The 16805-nt window shown below is 53.0% G+C and overlaps 1 annotated feature.

Moving 5' to 3' along the window:
- Nucleotides 4261–4420: a silencer, noted in NCBI's record as "silent region_10499". NCBI's record gives its function as "represses an Ori minimal core promoter by ATAC-STARR-seq in GM12878 lymphoblastoid cells {active_cell/tissue: GM12878}" and the evidence as "EXISTENCE:reporter gene assay evidence [ECO:0000049][PMID:35858748]".

A 16805-nucleotide genomic window follows, 5' to 3' on the forward strand; every position in this document is an offset into this window, starting at 1 on the left:
TTCTGCACCTCTGAGCCAAGCAGGACTCTGGCCTGAGGCTGTCATCTGCAGACACTCACCCTGATCCCTGGCCCCACTCACCCTGATCCCTGGCCCCACTCACCTGACAAAACCACCTCAGGGCTGTCAGGATGCACATGCTCTGGAGGAGGAGAGGAGAAGCCATAGAGGAAACTTCTCCAAAAGCATACATGTTCACACCAGAGAGGGCTCCAGAAGTGTCAGCAGTCAATGTGGTTCTGGGAAGGTCTGGGAGGAGGTGTTTGTTGGAGTGTTGAGTGTGGGCATGAGTGTGGCTGCATTTGGGTTTTGTTTGTGATGGGAAGGGCTGCCTGACTCTGGAGTCTCTGCCCTCTGTCAGCCTGTCTGCAGGAGCCTCTGCATGCCCTCCTGGGTCATTCTGTGGGTTGCTCTGTGGGCCCTCCCAGGAGGCTGCCCTCTGTCTGTCCCTATTTGCTAGGGGAGATGCTGCTGATTCTCCACGTGGAGGTGCCACTGGATCCCTGGGTGGACCCCCAGGTGGAGGCCCTGCTGATTCCCAGGTGGAGAAACTGCCGGATCCCCAGGTGGAGGAACTGCTGGATCCCCAGATAGAGGAACTGCTGGATCTCCAGGTAGAGGAACTGCTGGATCCCCAGATGGAGGAAATGCTGGATCCCCAAGTGGAGGAATTGCTGATCCCCAGGTGGAGGAGCTGCTGGATCCTCAGTTGGAGGCGCTCCTGTATTACTAGTTGGAGGTGCTTCTGGAATCTCCCCAGGCTCACACCAGCCTGAGCTGCTCCATCTCCTTTTCTGCCTCCATCTTGGACCCTGGAACATTGCAAAGGGGAACAAGGCACTGAGCCTTCCTCCTGCCCCTTTGGGGTAACATCCATCCAGGAGATCTGAGAAGCAGGGAGACCTCCCTCGGGTTCCAGCTGGAAGCGGCTTGGACCATCCAACAGAAGTGACCCAGAGGGGCAGGGAAGAGGCTGTGGTCAGGGCCTGGGGAACTCTTGGGACCCGTGGAAGCTGAGACAGCAGATGCTGAGGGGCCCAGAAAGCCAGAGTAGCTGCCCTGCACCTTGGCCAGGACCAGGGTCCATGTGAGAGGAGACAGGGAAGTGCCTGGCTGAGGACAACCTAAAAAGAGGTGCCCTGGGTCCCGGTGCTCAAACGTGAGACCACGTTCATGTGCAGGAAAGTGTCCCTGGTCATGGGTGCATTTGGTGAAGCCAGAGGCAGTGCCCCTATGGCATCTGCTCAGCAGGGAACACCTGAACTCTCCGCTGACACAGCATCTGGGAGCAGCTTGGAGACAGTGAGGATGACACAGCCCCTCCCCTGGGTGAGCGTGTGTGTGCGTCTGCATGTGTGTGTCGGGGGAGAAGGCACATGCACTTGTATCATCTCTCAGAGAAACGCCGGCTCAAGCTGGACAGACGTGGACACACAACGCATCCATCAGTGGGGGGCTTTTGTTGCAGGTGGTGATGACAGAAGACAGGTGCAGGCAGTGACCATGATCACCACTTGACAGCCCTGAGAGTGACCTCCAACTGAAGGCCAGAGGCCCAGCCTGGAGACCAACCCAGCTCCAACCCCCAACCCCAGCCCCAAACCTCACAGGGCTCAGGAAGAGCCGACTCAGTGCAGTGGTAGGGAAGTATGTGTGTGTGCACGTGTGCATGTGTCTGTGTGTGTGTCTGGGTGTCTGTGTGGGTGTCTGGCCTGTGCTGTGGGGTGGGTGGATGTGAGCGCGTATATGTCTATGTGTGTGTCTGGCCTATACTCTCCACATGTGTGTTTGTGAGTGTGTGTGTTTGGCCTGTACTGTGGGTGGGTGTGAGCATATGGATCATGTGGGTGGGTGTGTTTGTGTGGATGTCTGGCCTGTGCTGTGGGATAAACGGGTGTGAGCATGTGGGTGTGTGTGTCTGGCCTGTGATGTGGGGTGGGTGGGTATGAGCGTGTGTGTGTGTGTCTGTGTCTATGTCTGTGTGTGTGTGTGTGTTTCTGCCCTGTGCTGTAGGGTGGGTGGGTGTGAACGTGTGTGTGTGTCTCTGGCCTGTGCTGTGGGGTGGGTGTGAGCATGTGTGTGTTTGTGTCTGTGTGTGTCTCTGTGTGTATGTCTGGCCTGTGCTGTGGGGTGGGTGGGTGTAAGTGTATGTCTGTATGTGTGTTTCTGTGTGTGTCTGGCCTGTACAGTGTGAGTGTATGTTTGGCCTGTATCATGTGGATGGGAGTGAGCATACAGGTAATGTGGGTCTGTGTGTCTGCGTGGGTGTGTGTCTGTGTGGGTGTCTGGCCTGTGCTGTGGGCTAAATGGGTAATGAGTATGTGGGTGTGTGTGGGGGGAGGGAGGTATCTGGCCTGTGCTGTGGGGTGGGTGTGAGCGTGTGTGTGTGTGTGTGTTTCTAGCCTGTGCTATGGGGTCAGTGGGAGCGTGTGTGTCTGTGTGTGTGTGTTCCTGGAGTGAGGGGTGTGCATTGTGTGTGAGCCCGCGTCCATGCCGGGTGTGGGCTGTGTGCAGTCTGAGTCCTGCCCGTCTCCAGGACCATCTCGTGCACCTGCTCCTCGTCTCTCCCTGCCCATTCGCTGGCCATTTTGTGGATGTCACCTGGAAGGGGCCAACTGATCAGAGACCCTAGAAAGGGCCACTGGCAGCTCCCAGGGGCAAAGGAGGCCCATTGAGTTGGGAGAAGAACAGCCCAAGCCCCAGGGCCCTCCCCAGCTTGGTCCCCCTGTGGGCCCCTCCGGGCGGCCCCAGGGAAGTCCCTGCCAGGCCTCTGCCCTTGAGTGGCTGAGACCTCCTGGATGGGAGCCCCACTCTCTGAGTGGTGACGAGAACAGACGTCCCAAAGCCTAGGGTCCCTCCTGGGGCTTGGGAGCCCCAAAGGCCTTGAGTATCCTGGGGAGATAGGATTCAAGGTCCACACAGATGGTCAGGTGGGAAACTCGGGCAGTTCTGGCTCCCCCCAGCTCCCCCTCCTCCCTGCTGTCTCGACAGGGTTTGGTGGCCCATACAGGGCCTGTCCAAGGGGCCCAGGACAAAGTCAGGCAGGCAGTGGACAGGGGGTCCCCCATCATCTCCCCCTACTCTCAGGCAGGGTTTGCCAATTTCATCCTCAGGGCTGAGCCCCTTGGTGGGGGACAGGAGCCTGTGGAGCCCATGGTTCTGAGGCCTGGAGGCGGCCTCACCTCACTGCCCCTATCTCTTCTTGGCCCCTTCCTCTTCAGGGAGCACTCGTGGTGAACCCAGCGAACATCCTGCTGGCGTCCCTCACTCCTCCACTGCTCTACAAGCCCAGGGGACCCAGAGCTGGGCACAAGAGGCTGTGTTGAACCACGGGATCCAGAAATGGGCAAAGGTGAAAGTTGGGGGTGGGGTAGTCTGGGCTCAAGTAACACTGCCCCTACCTCCGGGGACTCCCAGCTGATGGGTACCATGACTCCTGAATGAGGAATAGGCAGGCGCCCCGGGGAGCAGGGTGTGGGGAGAGGACTGTATGTTAGCCCCACTGCCCTGCCCGGGCCGGGGAGGGGGTGTGGGAGCCCTGAGCTGGGTTCTTCACACTGCCCTGGCCTGGCTGCTTGTTGGCCCTTCTCACTGCCCAGGGCACGCTTTGCACAAGAGGCTCTGTTGGGAGATGGCAGCAGAGGGGGACCCGGGGTCTGGGCCAGGCCGGGGCTACTAGGGGACTATCCTCCTGCCTCTCCTTCACCCTGGGCCGGCCTCAGGAAAGGAGGAGCAGGGGAGCAGCTGGAGGTGCCAAGAGCTCTGGAAGCTAGGGAAGGGGGCAGGGGGCAGGGGCAGAGGGCAGAGAGAGCAACTTCCTGTCACGGGCCTGGGCGACCCTTCCGCGCCACCTGGGTATGCCAGCCTGAGTCAAGTGGACAGTGAGTGCTGAGCGTGGAGAAGTGCAGGTGCGTGCGCGAGGTGTTTAAAGAGGAGACCAAGGGACTGGGACCCTGAGTGTGTCGGGGGTGCAGGTGTCGGGGGTCACTCGTGCTGGGTGCTGCGCTGTGGCCTCGTGTGCGTTGCCCAGTGCCCCTCTCCCAGCGGTGCTGTCCACTCATGCCTCGCTCTACTGTATAGGTGAGAAGACTGAGGCACAGAAAGGCGTGGCCAGAGCTGTGCAGCGCAGGAGTTGGAGCTGGGATTGCGCCCAAGCGGCCGGCAGGGGCTCCCTCGCGTTCGTACCCACAGGCGCAGAGCCGTTCTCCGCCGCCAGGTGGGGCTAAGTCCCCGCTCCCGAGCAGCGGCTTGGGGATCCCCGGCGGGGCCGCCAGGTGGCAGCAGCGCTCTGGCCGCGCGGCTCCAGCTCCCGGGCGCCCCGCGTCCCCAGCCTCCCCACCGCGCAGTCGGCTCCTCTGTCACCTCGCCCTCCCAACCATGGGGTCACGGGGCTCCCGCCCCTCCACTGTCTGCGGGCGGCCTCCAGAGGTTACTCTCAAACCCACCAGCTCCAGGGGACCCGCCTGTGCTAACACTAAGCCCCCAAACACCCGCAGCGCCCCTAAAGCAGTGACATCCACAACCTCCCCGGGGGCTTGTCCTGCACGCTCCATCAGGGTGATGTCAGGCCTTCTCCAACCTCAACCACAACACGAACGCACACGCGCAAACACAAATGCATGCACACACACAGGCACAGACGCACAGACACACACAACCACACACACAGACACACAGACACCCATCCTCACAAACACACACCCAGACAGATATGCAGACACACGCATGCACACAGACCCAGATGCACGCGGACACACAGACACACACGTAAACACACAGAAACATGCACGGCTCAGGACGGGGCTTCTTGCTGCATTGAAATAAATGGGAAGAACCGGAAGGTCCCTCACTGTCTCAGCCAAGTGCATGCACTTCCCACGCTGAGCCCTGTCCTCCACTTCCCCTCCTGCACTGGCCAGAGGTCACCCCCGACACACACACACACACACACACACACACACACACACACACCAGATCCCAGTCCCTTAGCCTACTCCTTAAGCACCTCCCGCGCGCACCTGCGCCCTCTCTGCACACACAGCAGGCTTTCCCATCAGCAGAAAACAAGCTGTCAATGCCCCACCTTTAAAAACGGGGAAGCCGTAGCCAGATGGCCCCTGCAGCGCCTGCCCATTTCTCTCCTCTCCTTCCTGGCAGAACCCACCCCTCAGCCCCCATGGCTTCACCTCCTTTTCCACTCTGGACCCCACCCTGGCCTGCCTTCCAATCTTGCCACCCGCAGAGTCCGCTGACAAGGCACCTTCCACTGCCGCACGCTGGCAATCCCAGGCACTCTTCTGCCTACACACTCCCTGGGCGAGCTCCCCATCACCCCTGTGCTAGACTCCCGGATTTGCCCCTGCAGCCCTGATCGGTAGACCCCCATGGCCAGCCGCCTCACCCCCAGCTGTCGGCACGTCCAGCGGGTGTCTCCACTTGAACGTCTCACCTGAGCCGCACACCTTTCACACCTCAAGCCCCTCCTCTCCCGGCTTCCCGGCTCAGCCTTCCCTACAAGCCCTGGATCGTCCCTTTCGCCCTGCCTCCCAAGGGCATACTGAATCCATGTCCATTCTCCCTCTCCAGGGCTGTCATTTAACCCAAGCCATTATCACACTAGCATCTCCTGCCTTGGCACCTAAAGTAATAAGTAACTATGGAATTTACCGGTTTACCAGGTACTGCTCTAAGTATTTCATATTTTTTGTACCCTGCCCCTCGCGATCCCGGCTGACTGCAAACTCCGCCTCCTAGGTTCAAGAAATTTTCCTGCCTCAGCCCCCCGAGTAGCTGGGATCACAGGGGCCTGCCACCACACCGGGCTAATTTTTGTATTTTTAATAGAGACGGAGTTTCACCATGTTGGACAGGCTGGTCTCAAACTCCCGACCTCAAGTGATTCACTCGCCTCGGCCTCCCAGAGTGCTGGGATTACAGGCTTAAGCCACCTCGCCTGGCTAGCGTTTCACATATAAGAGCTTATCTAATCCTCACTACAACCCTGGAAGACCGTTATCATCCTCCCCATTTTTTGCAGATGAAGACATTGAGACACAGAGAGGTTAAGTAATCTGCCCAAGGCCACACAGCTATAATGGGGATCTTCCAGAATTCAGAGCCTGATGGTTTGGCCCTGGCTCTGTGTGCCCATGAGTGCACAGTTCTTACTGGCTCTCTGGTGTTCCAATGGGGTAGGAGGTTTTGCGACAGCAGAGAAGGAATTGAATGGTCACTAGGGCAAGGGAAAGACAAGCTCTCTGGAGAAAGAGAGGGAGTGTCTCAGGCATTGCTTTGCACCCATTTGCAGTTTATGATGGATGTGCAGGGCACCAGCATGCCTTCCTGCTGCAGCATAAGCAAGGTCACAGCGGGGCTCCTCCTAGACCTGTGTGACAGAGGAGTGAAGGACACAGAGAATAGTCACCCAATCAGGACAAGGCTGGATGAGGAAGGGCATCAAGACAGGAAGGGCTGATAGGCAGAGAGAAGGCGCTGGGGTCTGCGGAGGAAGTGAGGCGGGAGTTGGGGACCTGTGACCTTGGAGATGGTGTGGTTTCCTGTGGTGACAGGCAAACTGTGGCCAGGGGTGGCAGTGGCCAGGATCACGATGATGACTTTCACCTCTGCCCACCATGATAATCTCCTGGATGGAGATGACCTCGGTTCCAGGGCTTGTGAACAAGTCACGCCCCACAGAGGGACCCTCTTCAGCCTCCTCTGGGGTCTGGTGACACGGTGGTCCTGTACCTGTGCCTCTGGCTCCATCAGTTCACACTTGCTACCTGCCTGCTTACCTGCCTGCTGTCACCTGTTCCAGCCTGTATCCACCTGCCTGTGACTACCTGAGTTTGCCTGTGACCACCCACACCCATCTGTCTCTCTCTGCCTTGGTGGGTGGTGGTTTTGGGGCTACAGGTCAGCCCCCTCCTCCGCGTGCAGGGCCTGAGAGCAGGGGCGTGGGAGACGGAGTCTGCCAATCTGGCCGCACCAGCTGGAGATGAGCCCAGGACTGCTGACGCCTCCAGCCTGCCTCTGGGGAGACCATGCTGTGTGGATGACAGTCCCCTAAGACCCGGAAGCGAGCCACGTCTGGGAGGATGAGATGGGGTCGGCAAATCTGGGCCGGGAGGGAAGGCTGCATTCTTGCTCTCCAAACCGATGTGCTGAATTTTACTTTTCCTTTTAGTTATTTCTTCTTCTTAAATCCTGTTTCTCTCCCTGAGGCAGCTAATCTATTATTTAACATCGGATTGTGGGATTGAAACTCCAAGGCAAATTGAAAATTATTTGTGTTTGAGGTTTCAGGCGTGAAGCTGAGGCAACCATTTCTGAGAGATCCTGAGAACCCGGGCAAAGGTAGCGAACCCACAGCACTGTTCCTGGAAGGGGCTGAGAGGACTGGGGTGCAGGAAGCGTTCCACAGACCTGGCAGGCTGGGGGGCCCCGCTATGCTCCAGCCTTGCCCACCCAAAGCCCGCAGCTCGGGGGTCATTAATCTCCATGTGGCATTTCACTTGGGAAATGCTGTCAACACCTCCCACTGGCCAAAGTCCTCAAGAGGCTGGGCAGGTGCCATCAGTCACCCTGGGCCTGTGCCCACCCTGGGGGAAATGCCTCGGTCATGAGAGGATTAATGACACGAGGAGAAGGGCTCGTCATCATTTTTCAAGGTTCGGCTCTCTGTAGATCTGCAGGCAGGATTGCTGGCCTAACAGTCAGTGGAGAGTGACCCAAGGCTCTGGAGAGTGACCAAGGAACACGGCTGAGGGTGGGGGGCCCTGGCCTGGACCCCCGCTGAGTGCCCGAAGACTGATGGAGCATGCGACCTCCTAGCGCTGGCTCTCAGGACATGAATCGGGACCAGAAGGAGGAGTGGGCTTGAGCCCAGGGGAGTGTGAACAAACACTGTGTGAGCCCCACATAGACATCTGCGGATCACGGAATGGGGGAACTGGGAGACGCCAGGTCAGGGAGATCCTTGGATTTTGGATAAGGGATAAGGAGATTGGATTTTGTGTTGGAAACAGCGGAACCATTGAAGGAGGGGTGTACTACGGTCAAGTTCCATGCCCAGAAGGATCCAGAATGAGGCTGAGGGGCTGTCTTCATCCATCTTAGTCTGTCTGGGCTGCTACATCAAAAATCCCATAGACTGGGTGACTCAGACAACAAACAATTTCTCACAGTTCTGGAGGCTGAGATCAAGGCGCCAGCAGATGCAGTGTCTGGGGAGGGCCGGTTTCCTGGTTCATAGGGGGCCCTCTTCCTGCTGTGAACTCATGGCAGAAGGGGTGAGGAGCTCCCCAGGGCCTCGTTTATCAGGGTGCTAATCCCATTCACGAGGGCTCCACCCTTAGGACCTAATCACCACCAAAAGGCCCCACCTCCTCACACCATCACTTTGGGGTTGAGGATTTCAACATAGGACACAATATTGTCAGGGGACATTCGGCGCATAGAAGAGGCTATCAGCACATCTCCATCCAACACTTAGAGCGGTCACACGTGTCAGGCCTTGTGCTAGACCTGGGTGATGGCACCCTTATGCCCCCAGCTCAGAACAGAGCTGAGCATCGAGGATCTGGGACCACAGAGAAGTGGGAGGAGTCTCCCACAAGGTCCTCTGCCACCCAGATTTATAAAGGAAAGAGGTTTAATCGACTCACAGTTCCACATGGCTGGGGATGCTTCAGGAAACTTACGATCATGGCAGAAAGGGAAGCAAACACGTCTTTCTTCACATGGCAGCAGGAGAGAGAAGTGCCGAGCAAAGGAGGAAAAGCGTCTTATAAAACCATCAGATCTTGTGGAACTCACTCACTATTACAAGAACAGCACGGGGGTAACCGCCCCCACGATTCAATTACCTCCCAGTGGATCCCTCCCATGACACGTGGGGCTTATGGGAACTACAATTCAAGATAAGATTTGGGTGGAGACACAGCCAAACCATATCACCGTGGGATCTCAATGAAACTGCAGCCATAGCTGCCCATCATGAACTGGGTCCTGTCAGAACCACCAAGTCAAAAGGCCAAGTGGACTCAGCACCTCCTATCAAAAGATAGAAGTTGGCCAGATGCAGTGGTCACACCTGTAATCCCAGCACTTTGGGAGGCAGAGGCAAGAGGATCGCTTAAGGCCAAGAGTTTGAGACCAGCCTGAGCAACATAGAGAGACCACGTTTCTACAAACAAAAAGTAAAAAATCATCCAGGTTTGGTGATGCACACCTGCAGTCCCAGCTACTCAGGAGGCTGAGGCAGGAGAATTGCTTGAGCCCAGGAGTTGGAGGCTGCAATGAGCTGTGATTGCACCACTGCGCTCTAGCCTGGGTGACAGAGTAAGACCTTGTCTCTAACTAGTAATAATAAGATAGAAGTGGCACACCCAGGATCAAGTGCAAGCAGGGTGGGAGGACACAAGCGAGCTGTGTGAGCAGGGAGCCTGGGCACCTTGGGATCCCCACTGCTGCACTGAGACCTCTTCCTCAGTTTACCTCTGAGGCCATATGGTGAGGGGCATGATCAGCTAATGAAAGAGGAAAAGGCTAGAGCTTTTTTCACAGATGTGTTGGCTTGTGTAGAAGCAGGTAAAAAGTGGATGGTGGCCAGGCATGGTGGCACATACCTGTAATCCCAGCTACTCCACAGGCTGAGGTACAAGAATCACTTGAACCCGGGAGGTGGAGGTTGCAGTGAGCCAAGATCGTGCCACTGCACTCCAGCTTGGGCAACAGAGTGAGACTCCATCTCAAAAAAAAAAAAAAAAAAAAAAAAAGTGGATGGTGACCAGGGTACAGTGGTCACATCTGTAATCCCAGCACTTCAGGAGGCCAAGGCAGGAGGATTGCTTGAGGCTAGGAGTTAGACAGGCCTGGGCAACACAGCAAGACCCCCATATCTTTTTTTTTTTTTAAATAAAAATTCAAAATAAAAGCTGATGGTGTCTGCACTGCAGCAGTGGATGGTGTGTGCACCACAGCTCCACCCAGGAGTGGCCTGGAAAGATGGTGGTAAAGTGAAATACTCCCAGTGGGTAGAGCTTTAGACACCGGTCATCCACTTTGGTGAAAAGGGAAATGGCCTGAGTTCAGAATATACATGGACTCATGGGCAGTGGCCGATGGCTTGGCCAGATAGTCAGGAGCCTAGAAGGAGAAAGATTAGAAGTTAGGAGACAAGGGGAAGTCATGTGGATGGGACTTGGCACAAAGTGTGACGATGTCTCTCACATTAGCACTCATTGGAAGAGGCACCAAGCAACCAAGTGGGCAGAACTACTTGGGTATGCAACATCAGCCAGCTTCTGTCATTGGCTTCTTCACGGCTGGTACAAAAAGCACACACAAGGAGGACGTGGTGACAGGGATGGAGGTTATGCATGGGTCCAGCAACAGGGGCTCCCACTCACCATGGTTGATCTAGCTGCTGCTATTGCTGCTGCCAAATCTCCAATTCTCCAGTAACAGAGACCCACACTAAGTCCCAAATGCAGCATCATTCCATGAGGACACCAACCTATCACTTGGTGGCAAGCCCACCACACTGGATCCCTTTCATCCTGGAAGGAGCAGTGATTCATTTTGTCAGGAATAAACACAAAGTCTGAGGATGGGTTTGCCTTTCCTGCCCACAGGGCCCGAGCCAGACCACAAGCCCAAGGGCTTACAGAGTGTCTGATGCACAGCGCAGCATCCCACGTGCCATTGCATCAGATAAAGGGACTCACTTTACAGAAAGGAGGTGCAAGGGTGGGCTGGTCATATCATCTACCGTATCCCTCCGAATCTGCTAATCTGATAAGCAATGGAAGGGCCTGTTGAAATCACAGCTTTTTGCAAAGATGAGGTGCCATTCTCCAGATGAAAGTAGGTACCTTAAATGAACAAAAGGTGGACATGGGTCTACCTGGGTGTGGTAGGCAGAATCATCACCCTTTTCCCCCAAAGCGATCTGCATCCTGACTCCCAGGACCCGTGGTTATGTAACCTTACATGGCAAAGAGGACCATCTAGACAGGATGTGATTAAGTGAAGGATCTTGACGTGGGGAAATTATCCTGGATTACCTGGGGGTGAGGGGCGGCTAATGTAATCACAAGGGTTCTCCTAGCTGCAAGAGGAAGGCAGGAGAGTCACTGTGGGAGTGATGCAGTGTGAAACGGATTCAACCAGCCTTTGCTGGCTTTGAAGACAGTGGGAGCCATGAGCCAAGGGAGCAACAGGCCCCTTGAAGCTGAGAAAGACAAGGAAATCATTCCTCCCTGGAGCCTCTAGAGGGAATGCAGCCCTACCTACACCTTAATTTCCACCCTGGGAGACTCATGTTGGACTCCAACTTCCTGAGCTGTAAAGTAATAGATTTGTGTTGTTCTAACTCACCAGATCTGTGGTGTGTTCTCACAGCAGCAACAGGAAACCAACACCCTATGTCCTAGGTAAGATGGGTCTGGGAACCAAAGAGCGGATGCAAGAGGTCCTGCTTACCCTCATGCTCATCTGCCCACTTGGAGAACATGTGCTTCTTGTTCCCACAGACCTGGGCTCTGAGGATTTGGAAATCCTGCTTCCCACATGAGCTATGCGTCTATCAATGAACACGGCAAGAGTCCTGTGGAACTGTAAGCTGTGGCTGCTGCCTGGACACTTTAGACTGCTTGGGCTAAGACACCAGCAAGCAAGATGAGTTACCCTCTTGGCAACTTAGCTAAGTGACATCAGCCAGCTTCTGTCATTGGCCTCTTCATGGCTGGTACAAAAAACACACACGAGGAGGACGTGGTGACAGGGATGGAGGCTATGTATAGGTCCAACAGCATGGGTTCCCACTCAGCATGGCTGACCTAGCTGCTGTTGCTCCTGCCAGATCTCCGATTCTCCAGCAGCAGAGATCGATGCTAAGTCTGGAATGCACCACCATTCCATGAGGACACCCACCCTTCACTTGGTGGCAAGCCGACCATACTGGATCGCTTTCATCCTGGAAGAAGTAGTGACTCATTTTGTCAGGAATAAATACATATTCTGAGTATAGGTTTGCATTTCCTGCCACAGGACCTGAGCCAGACCACAAGCCCTGATCATCAGTAAGAGGGAGCATTTTTATTATACAGTGGGGCTGGGAGAAATCTATTTGGTGTCTGGTTAATCCACTTGGATGCTTTTCGATACTCCCTTGCCCAGTTTTGACAGCGAATGGGCAAGTGCAGCAACTCTGGTCTGAGAAGGTGATGTTGGCCAGAGTCTCAGACCCCTCAGGGATGAAGATCTGGTTTTTCCACCAGGTAAGCCCCTGAGACCAGGTTGCTGTTCGCTGAGGGTGCAGGAGTCCTGAAGAGATAATAAGGAGGAGAGAAGCTGAGTATCTGTTGCAGCTCCAAGACCAACTGTGACAGTGGAGGCTGTAATCTTTTTTTTTTTTTTTTTTTTTTTGAGACAGAGTCTTGCTCTGTTGCCCAGGCTGGAGTGCAGTGGTACAATTTCAGCTCAGTGAAACCTCTGCCTCCTGGGTTCAAGCAATTCTCCTGCCTCAGCTGGGATTACAGGCATGTGCCACCATGCCTGGCTAATTTTTGCATTTTTAGTAGAGATGTTGTCCAGGCTGGTCTCGAATTCCTGACCTCAAGTGATCCACCCACCTTGGCCTCCCAAAGTGCTGGGATTACAGGTGTGAGCCACTGTGCCCAGACAGCTGTATAATCTAATCTTCTTCTAAGATCCCCCAGGGAGAGGCATACCAGAATCCTGGAGGAGCTGGGTCCCTTTTCTCTCCCTGCCTCTCTAGAGAGGGTTCAGCCTGGTCAGGTGGACAGCCGGCTGGAATTGGGGCTGGTTGGCTGGGACTTTGTGGTCACTTAGGTCCAGAAAAGCAGATCATGGGGACAGGCACCAGGGTTTTAAGGACATCGTTAAATACCTCACAAGACAGACCCTGGCTGCATGTCTTCTAACCCACGATGGCCTCAGCTTAACGAGTCCTAAGAAAGAACTAGCCCTCCTTAAGTCATTCCTAGAGTTCTTCAATAGCAGCCAAACTATACACATGAACCAACCCCTCCAAACAGCATGGCTATGCAGCAGGTCAGAAGAGAAAGGCATGTTGGACTTACCACTGGGCTTTGGGGGGAGCTGCTTCACCTCCCTGGGCCTCGGTTTCCCCATGTATGGAAAGGGCCAGTGATATGGTCTGGATCTGTGACCCCACCACATCTCATGTTGAATTGTAATCCCCAGTGTTGGAGGGGAGGCCTGGTGGGAGGTAATTGGATCACAGGGGTGATTTATCATGAATGGTTTAGCATCATCTCTTAGTGCTGTTCTCATGATAGTGAGCGAGTTCTCCCGAGATCTGGTTGTTTAAAAGTGCGTAGCACCTTTCCCCCTCACTCTCTTGCTCCTACTCCAGCCATGTGATGTGCCTGCTTCCCCTTCACCTTCCGCCATGATTGTAAGTTTCCTGAGGCCTCCCCAGCCATGCTTCCTGTACAGCCTGCAGCACTGTACAGTGAGCCAAGATCTCTCCACCTCTTTTCTGTATAAATTACCCAGTCTCAGGTATTTCTTTATAGCAATGCAAGAATGGACTAATACAGCCAGCTCTTCCCAAGCCAGCACATTCCAGCACCCCACTCCAAGGAATCCAAGAATTCCAGACCGAACCCGGGCTTCCAGGTCATTATGAAGGTATATTCATCAAGGTGGGAGAATATAATGTATGTTATTAAATAGTTGCTAGCTTGATTTACACCTTTTAGGTATTTAGACATATGATACGTGGATCTCTATTTATCCTCTTCTTCTCAGCCCTGAAAATGTTAGGGGTGGGCCAAGATATGTAATACACACACATGCATAATTTTATATAATATCTATAGTATATATAACATATGATTATATATATTATATAATTATAAATAATAGAGTAACATGTATATCATCCCAGTCTAATTCGTGTATGGATGTGTATACATACACACACACACACACACACACATACAGATATATAGTTTATAGTCAGCTATTGCCGTGTGACAAAGACACACACAATTTCAGCGGCATACAGTGATAAGCACGAATTTCTCCTGTGTCTGTGGGAGGCTTATGCAACCCCACTCTGTGTATGTCACTCGATGGCTCCAGTCTCCAGCTGCCTGGAGCTTATTCTTATGGCCACAGCAGAAACTCCAAGTCCAGCCACAGAAGCACACTTTAAGCCTCTCCGTAAAGCCACTACCTGCTAACTCCCACTTGGTGAAGCCCCGTATCAGGGTGTGGAGAAGTTATTTCTGCCAACCACGAAGCTGTAGCAAGGGTGTAGTTGTCTCTAGGTACTACAGGGCAGGGAAAAATTGGAATCAATAATTTAACCCATCACACATACCAAACAGAGGTTCCCTAGGAAGAAGAAAATGAGATTGTCAGGGTGTGGGGGATTAATTTGTAATTAGTTCTAATTACTAAAAGAATCGATGTTTTAATTTTTTACAAAGTATCTGTATTCCCATATTCTTTCTGTAATAAAGCAAAAATCAGAAGCCCTCAATTCTCCCCAATTCCAGTTAAAATCCTAATAAATACAATTGTTACGAGTTGATTCCTTTGGAAGACTGCCTAGCCATTTTGAAAAATAAATTCTTTTTTAGATACAGACCTCAAACCATAGGCAGAAGTTAATTCCAAAAGGATGAGAGACCTAGATGTAAAAACAGAACTGTAAAAATTCAGAGGGCGATAATATTATGAAATATATCAAGACGTTTTTCTTTTTTGCACTTCCTTGGGTGACCTTCTAGCTTTTCAGCCAGAGGCTCGCATTGCCTAGAGGTGGTGGCAGATGGAGGGAGGGAGACGAGGATGAGGGAGGGAGGGAGGAGGGAAGGGGGAGGAGGAGAAGAAGAAGAGAGAGAAGACAGGGAAGAGAGGAGGGAGAGAAGGGTGACAGGGAGCTGGTTGAGGGAGGGGACACAGAGCAGGAGACAGAGGCCCCATGTGGATCAAAGGAGTGACAAGGGAGGGCCCATGCTCAGTGATATGAGAACAGCAAGAGGCAACAAACAAGATACAAAAGGATACACACTTCCATCCCATTCATGTACAAGTTTAAAACCTACACAAGTGTTACCATTGTTTATGAACATATCCCAATGTTGCAAAAAGTATAAAAGGGTGCACAGGAGGGATACAACTGGCTGGGGAGGAAGGGAGGGGTTTAATACATCTGTATCATTTCGTATTGTTTTTTAAAGAGGATCTGAAGCAAATATTCAAAATGGTTTGTTACATTTGGGTGTCTGTTACATTATTTTTTACGTTGTGAAATGCATGCATGATGGAGGAAAGGCAGGCTGTGAATCAGTATGAATAGGTTGATCCCATACTTTAAAAGCACATGTGTGAGTGCCTGTGTGCACATCTGTGTGCTCAGGTGTGTGTGTAGGTGTCTTTTTACCTATGGTTCTGTGCATGTCTGTGTCTGTAGATTATGTGTGTGGGTGTGGTATGGGTACGTGTGTGTCTCTTTGTGTCGCTTGTGTGTGCATGTGTCTGCGTATCTGTGCAACTATATGTCCGTGTCTCTGCATATTTGTTAGTATGTGTGTCCATGTCTGTGTCTGTGCAATTGTGTCTATAGTTATGTTTCTGTATGTTTGTCATTGACTGTGTGTATTTGCACGTGTGTGTGTGTGTAAGTGTGTTTTGTTTTGTTTTGTTTTGTTTTTTGAGATGTAGTCTCACTCTGTCACCCAGGCTGGAGTGCAGTGGAGAGATCTTGGCTCACTGCAACGTCCACCTCCTGGGTTCAAGCAATTCTCCTGACTCAGCCTCCCCAGTAGCCAGGATTACAGGTGTCCGCCACCATATCCAGCTAGTTTTTGTATCTTTAGTAGAGACGGGGTTTCATTATGTTGGCCAGGCTGGTCTCGAACTCCTGACCTCAAGTTATCTGCCCTCATCGGCCTTCCAAAGTGCTGGGATCACAGGTATCAGCCACCACACCGAGCCACTGCATGTGTGTATCTGTGTGGGTCTGTGTAGTTGTGTGTCTGTGTGTGCCTGCACACCTGTGTGTTTATAAATAGAAAAAAAACTAGATGGACAAATGTCAAATCATTGACACAGTTCTTTCTGGGAAGGGGAGACAGAGGACTTTTGTTTCCCTTTCACACATTTTATGGTGATACATTATTTTTTGATGATGATGATGATGTATTCTTTATTTATATTTTTAAATACTTTTTAAAAAGACAGTACACGGAGGCCGGGCACAGTGGCTCACACCTGAAATCCCAGCACTTTGAGAGGCTGAGGCAGGTGGGTCACTTGGGCTCAGGAGTTTGAGACCAGCCTGGCCAACATGGTGAAACCCCATCTCTACTAAAAATACAAAAATTAGCCAGGTGTCATGGCGCAGACCTGTAATCCCAGCTACTCAGGAGGCTGAGGCAGGAGAAACGCTTGAACCCGGGAAGTAGAGGTTGCACTGAGCTGAGATTGCACCACTGCCCTCCAGCCTGGGGGGGAGAGTGAGACTCTGTCTCAAAAAATAAAAATAAAATAAAAGACAGTACAGAGTTTCACAGCTTGAAAAATAAGAATTTACCAGCCGACTCTGCACTCTGCTCCAGGGCTCCTCCCTTGAGCCGCACTTTGCTTTGCCTCCGGGGCCTGGATCATCCATCCCACCCATCCACAAGGGCCCTGGGGACAGAGGAGCCTGGGGACACTTCCCGGCCCAACCCCAGGGGCACAGCCCAAAGCAATCATGACATTTCTCTGGAGTCTTGTATTTTATCTTTAAATGTTAG

Source organism: Homo sapiens, chromosome 19 (assembly GCF_000001405.40).
Source record: "Homo sapiens chromosome 19, GRCh38.p14 Primary Assembly".
Classification (NCBI taxonomy): Eukaryota; Metazoa; Chordata; class Mammalia; order Primates; family Hominidae; genus Homo; species Homo sapiens.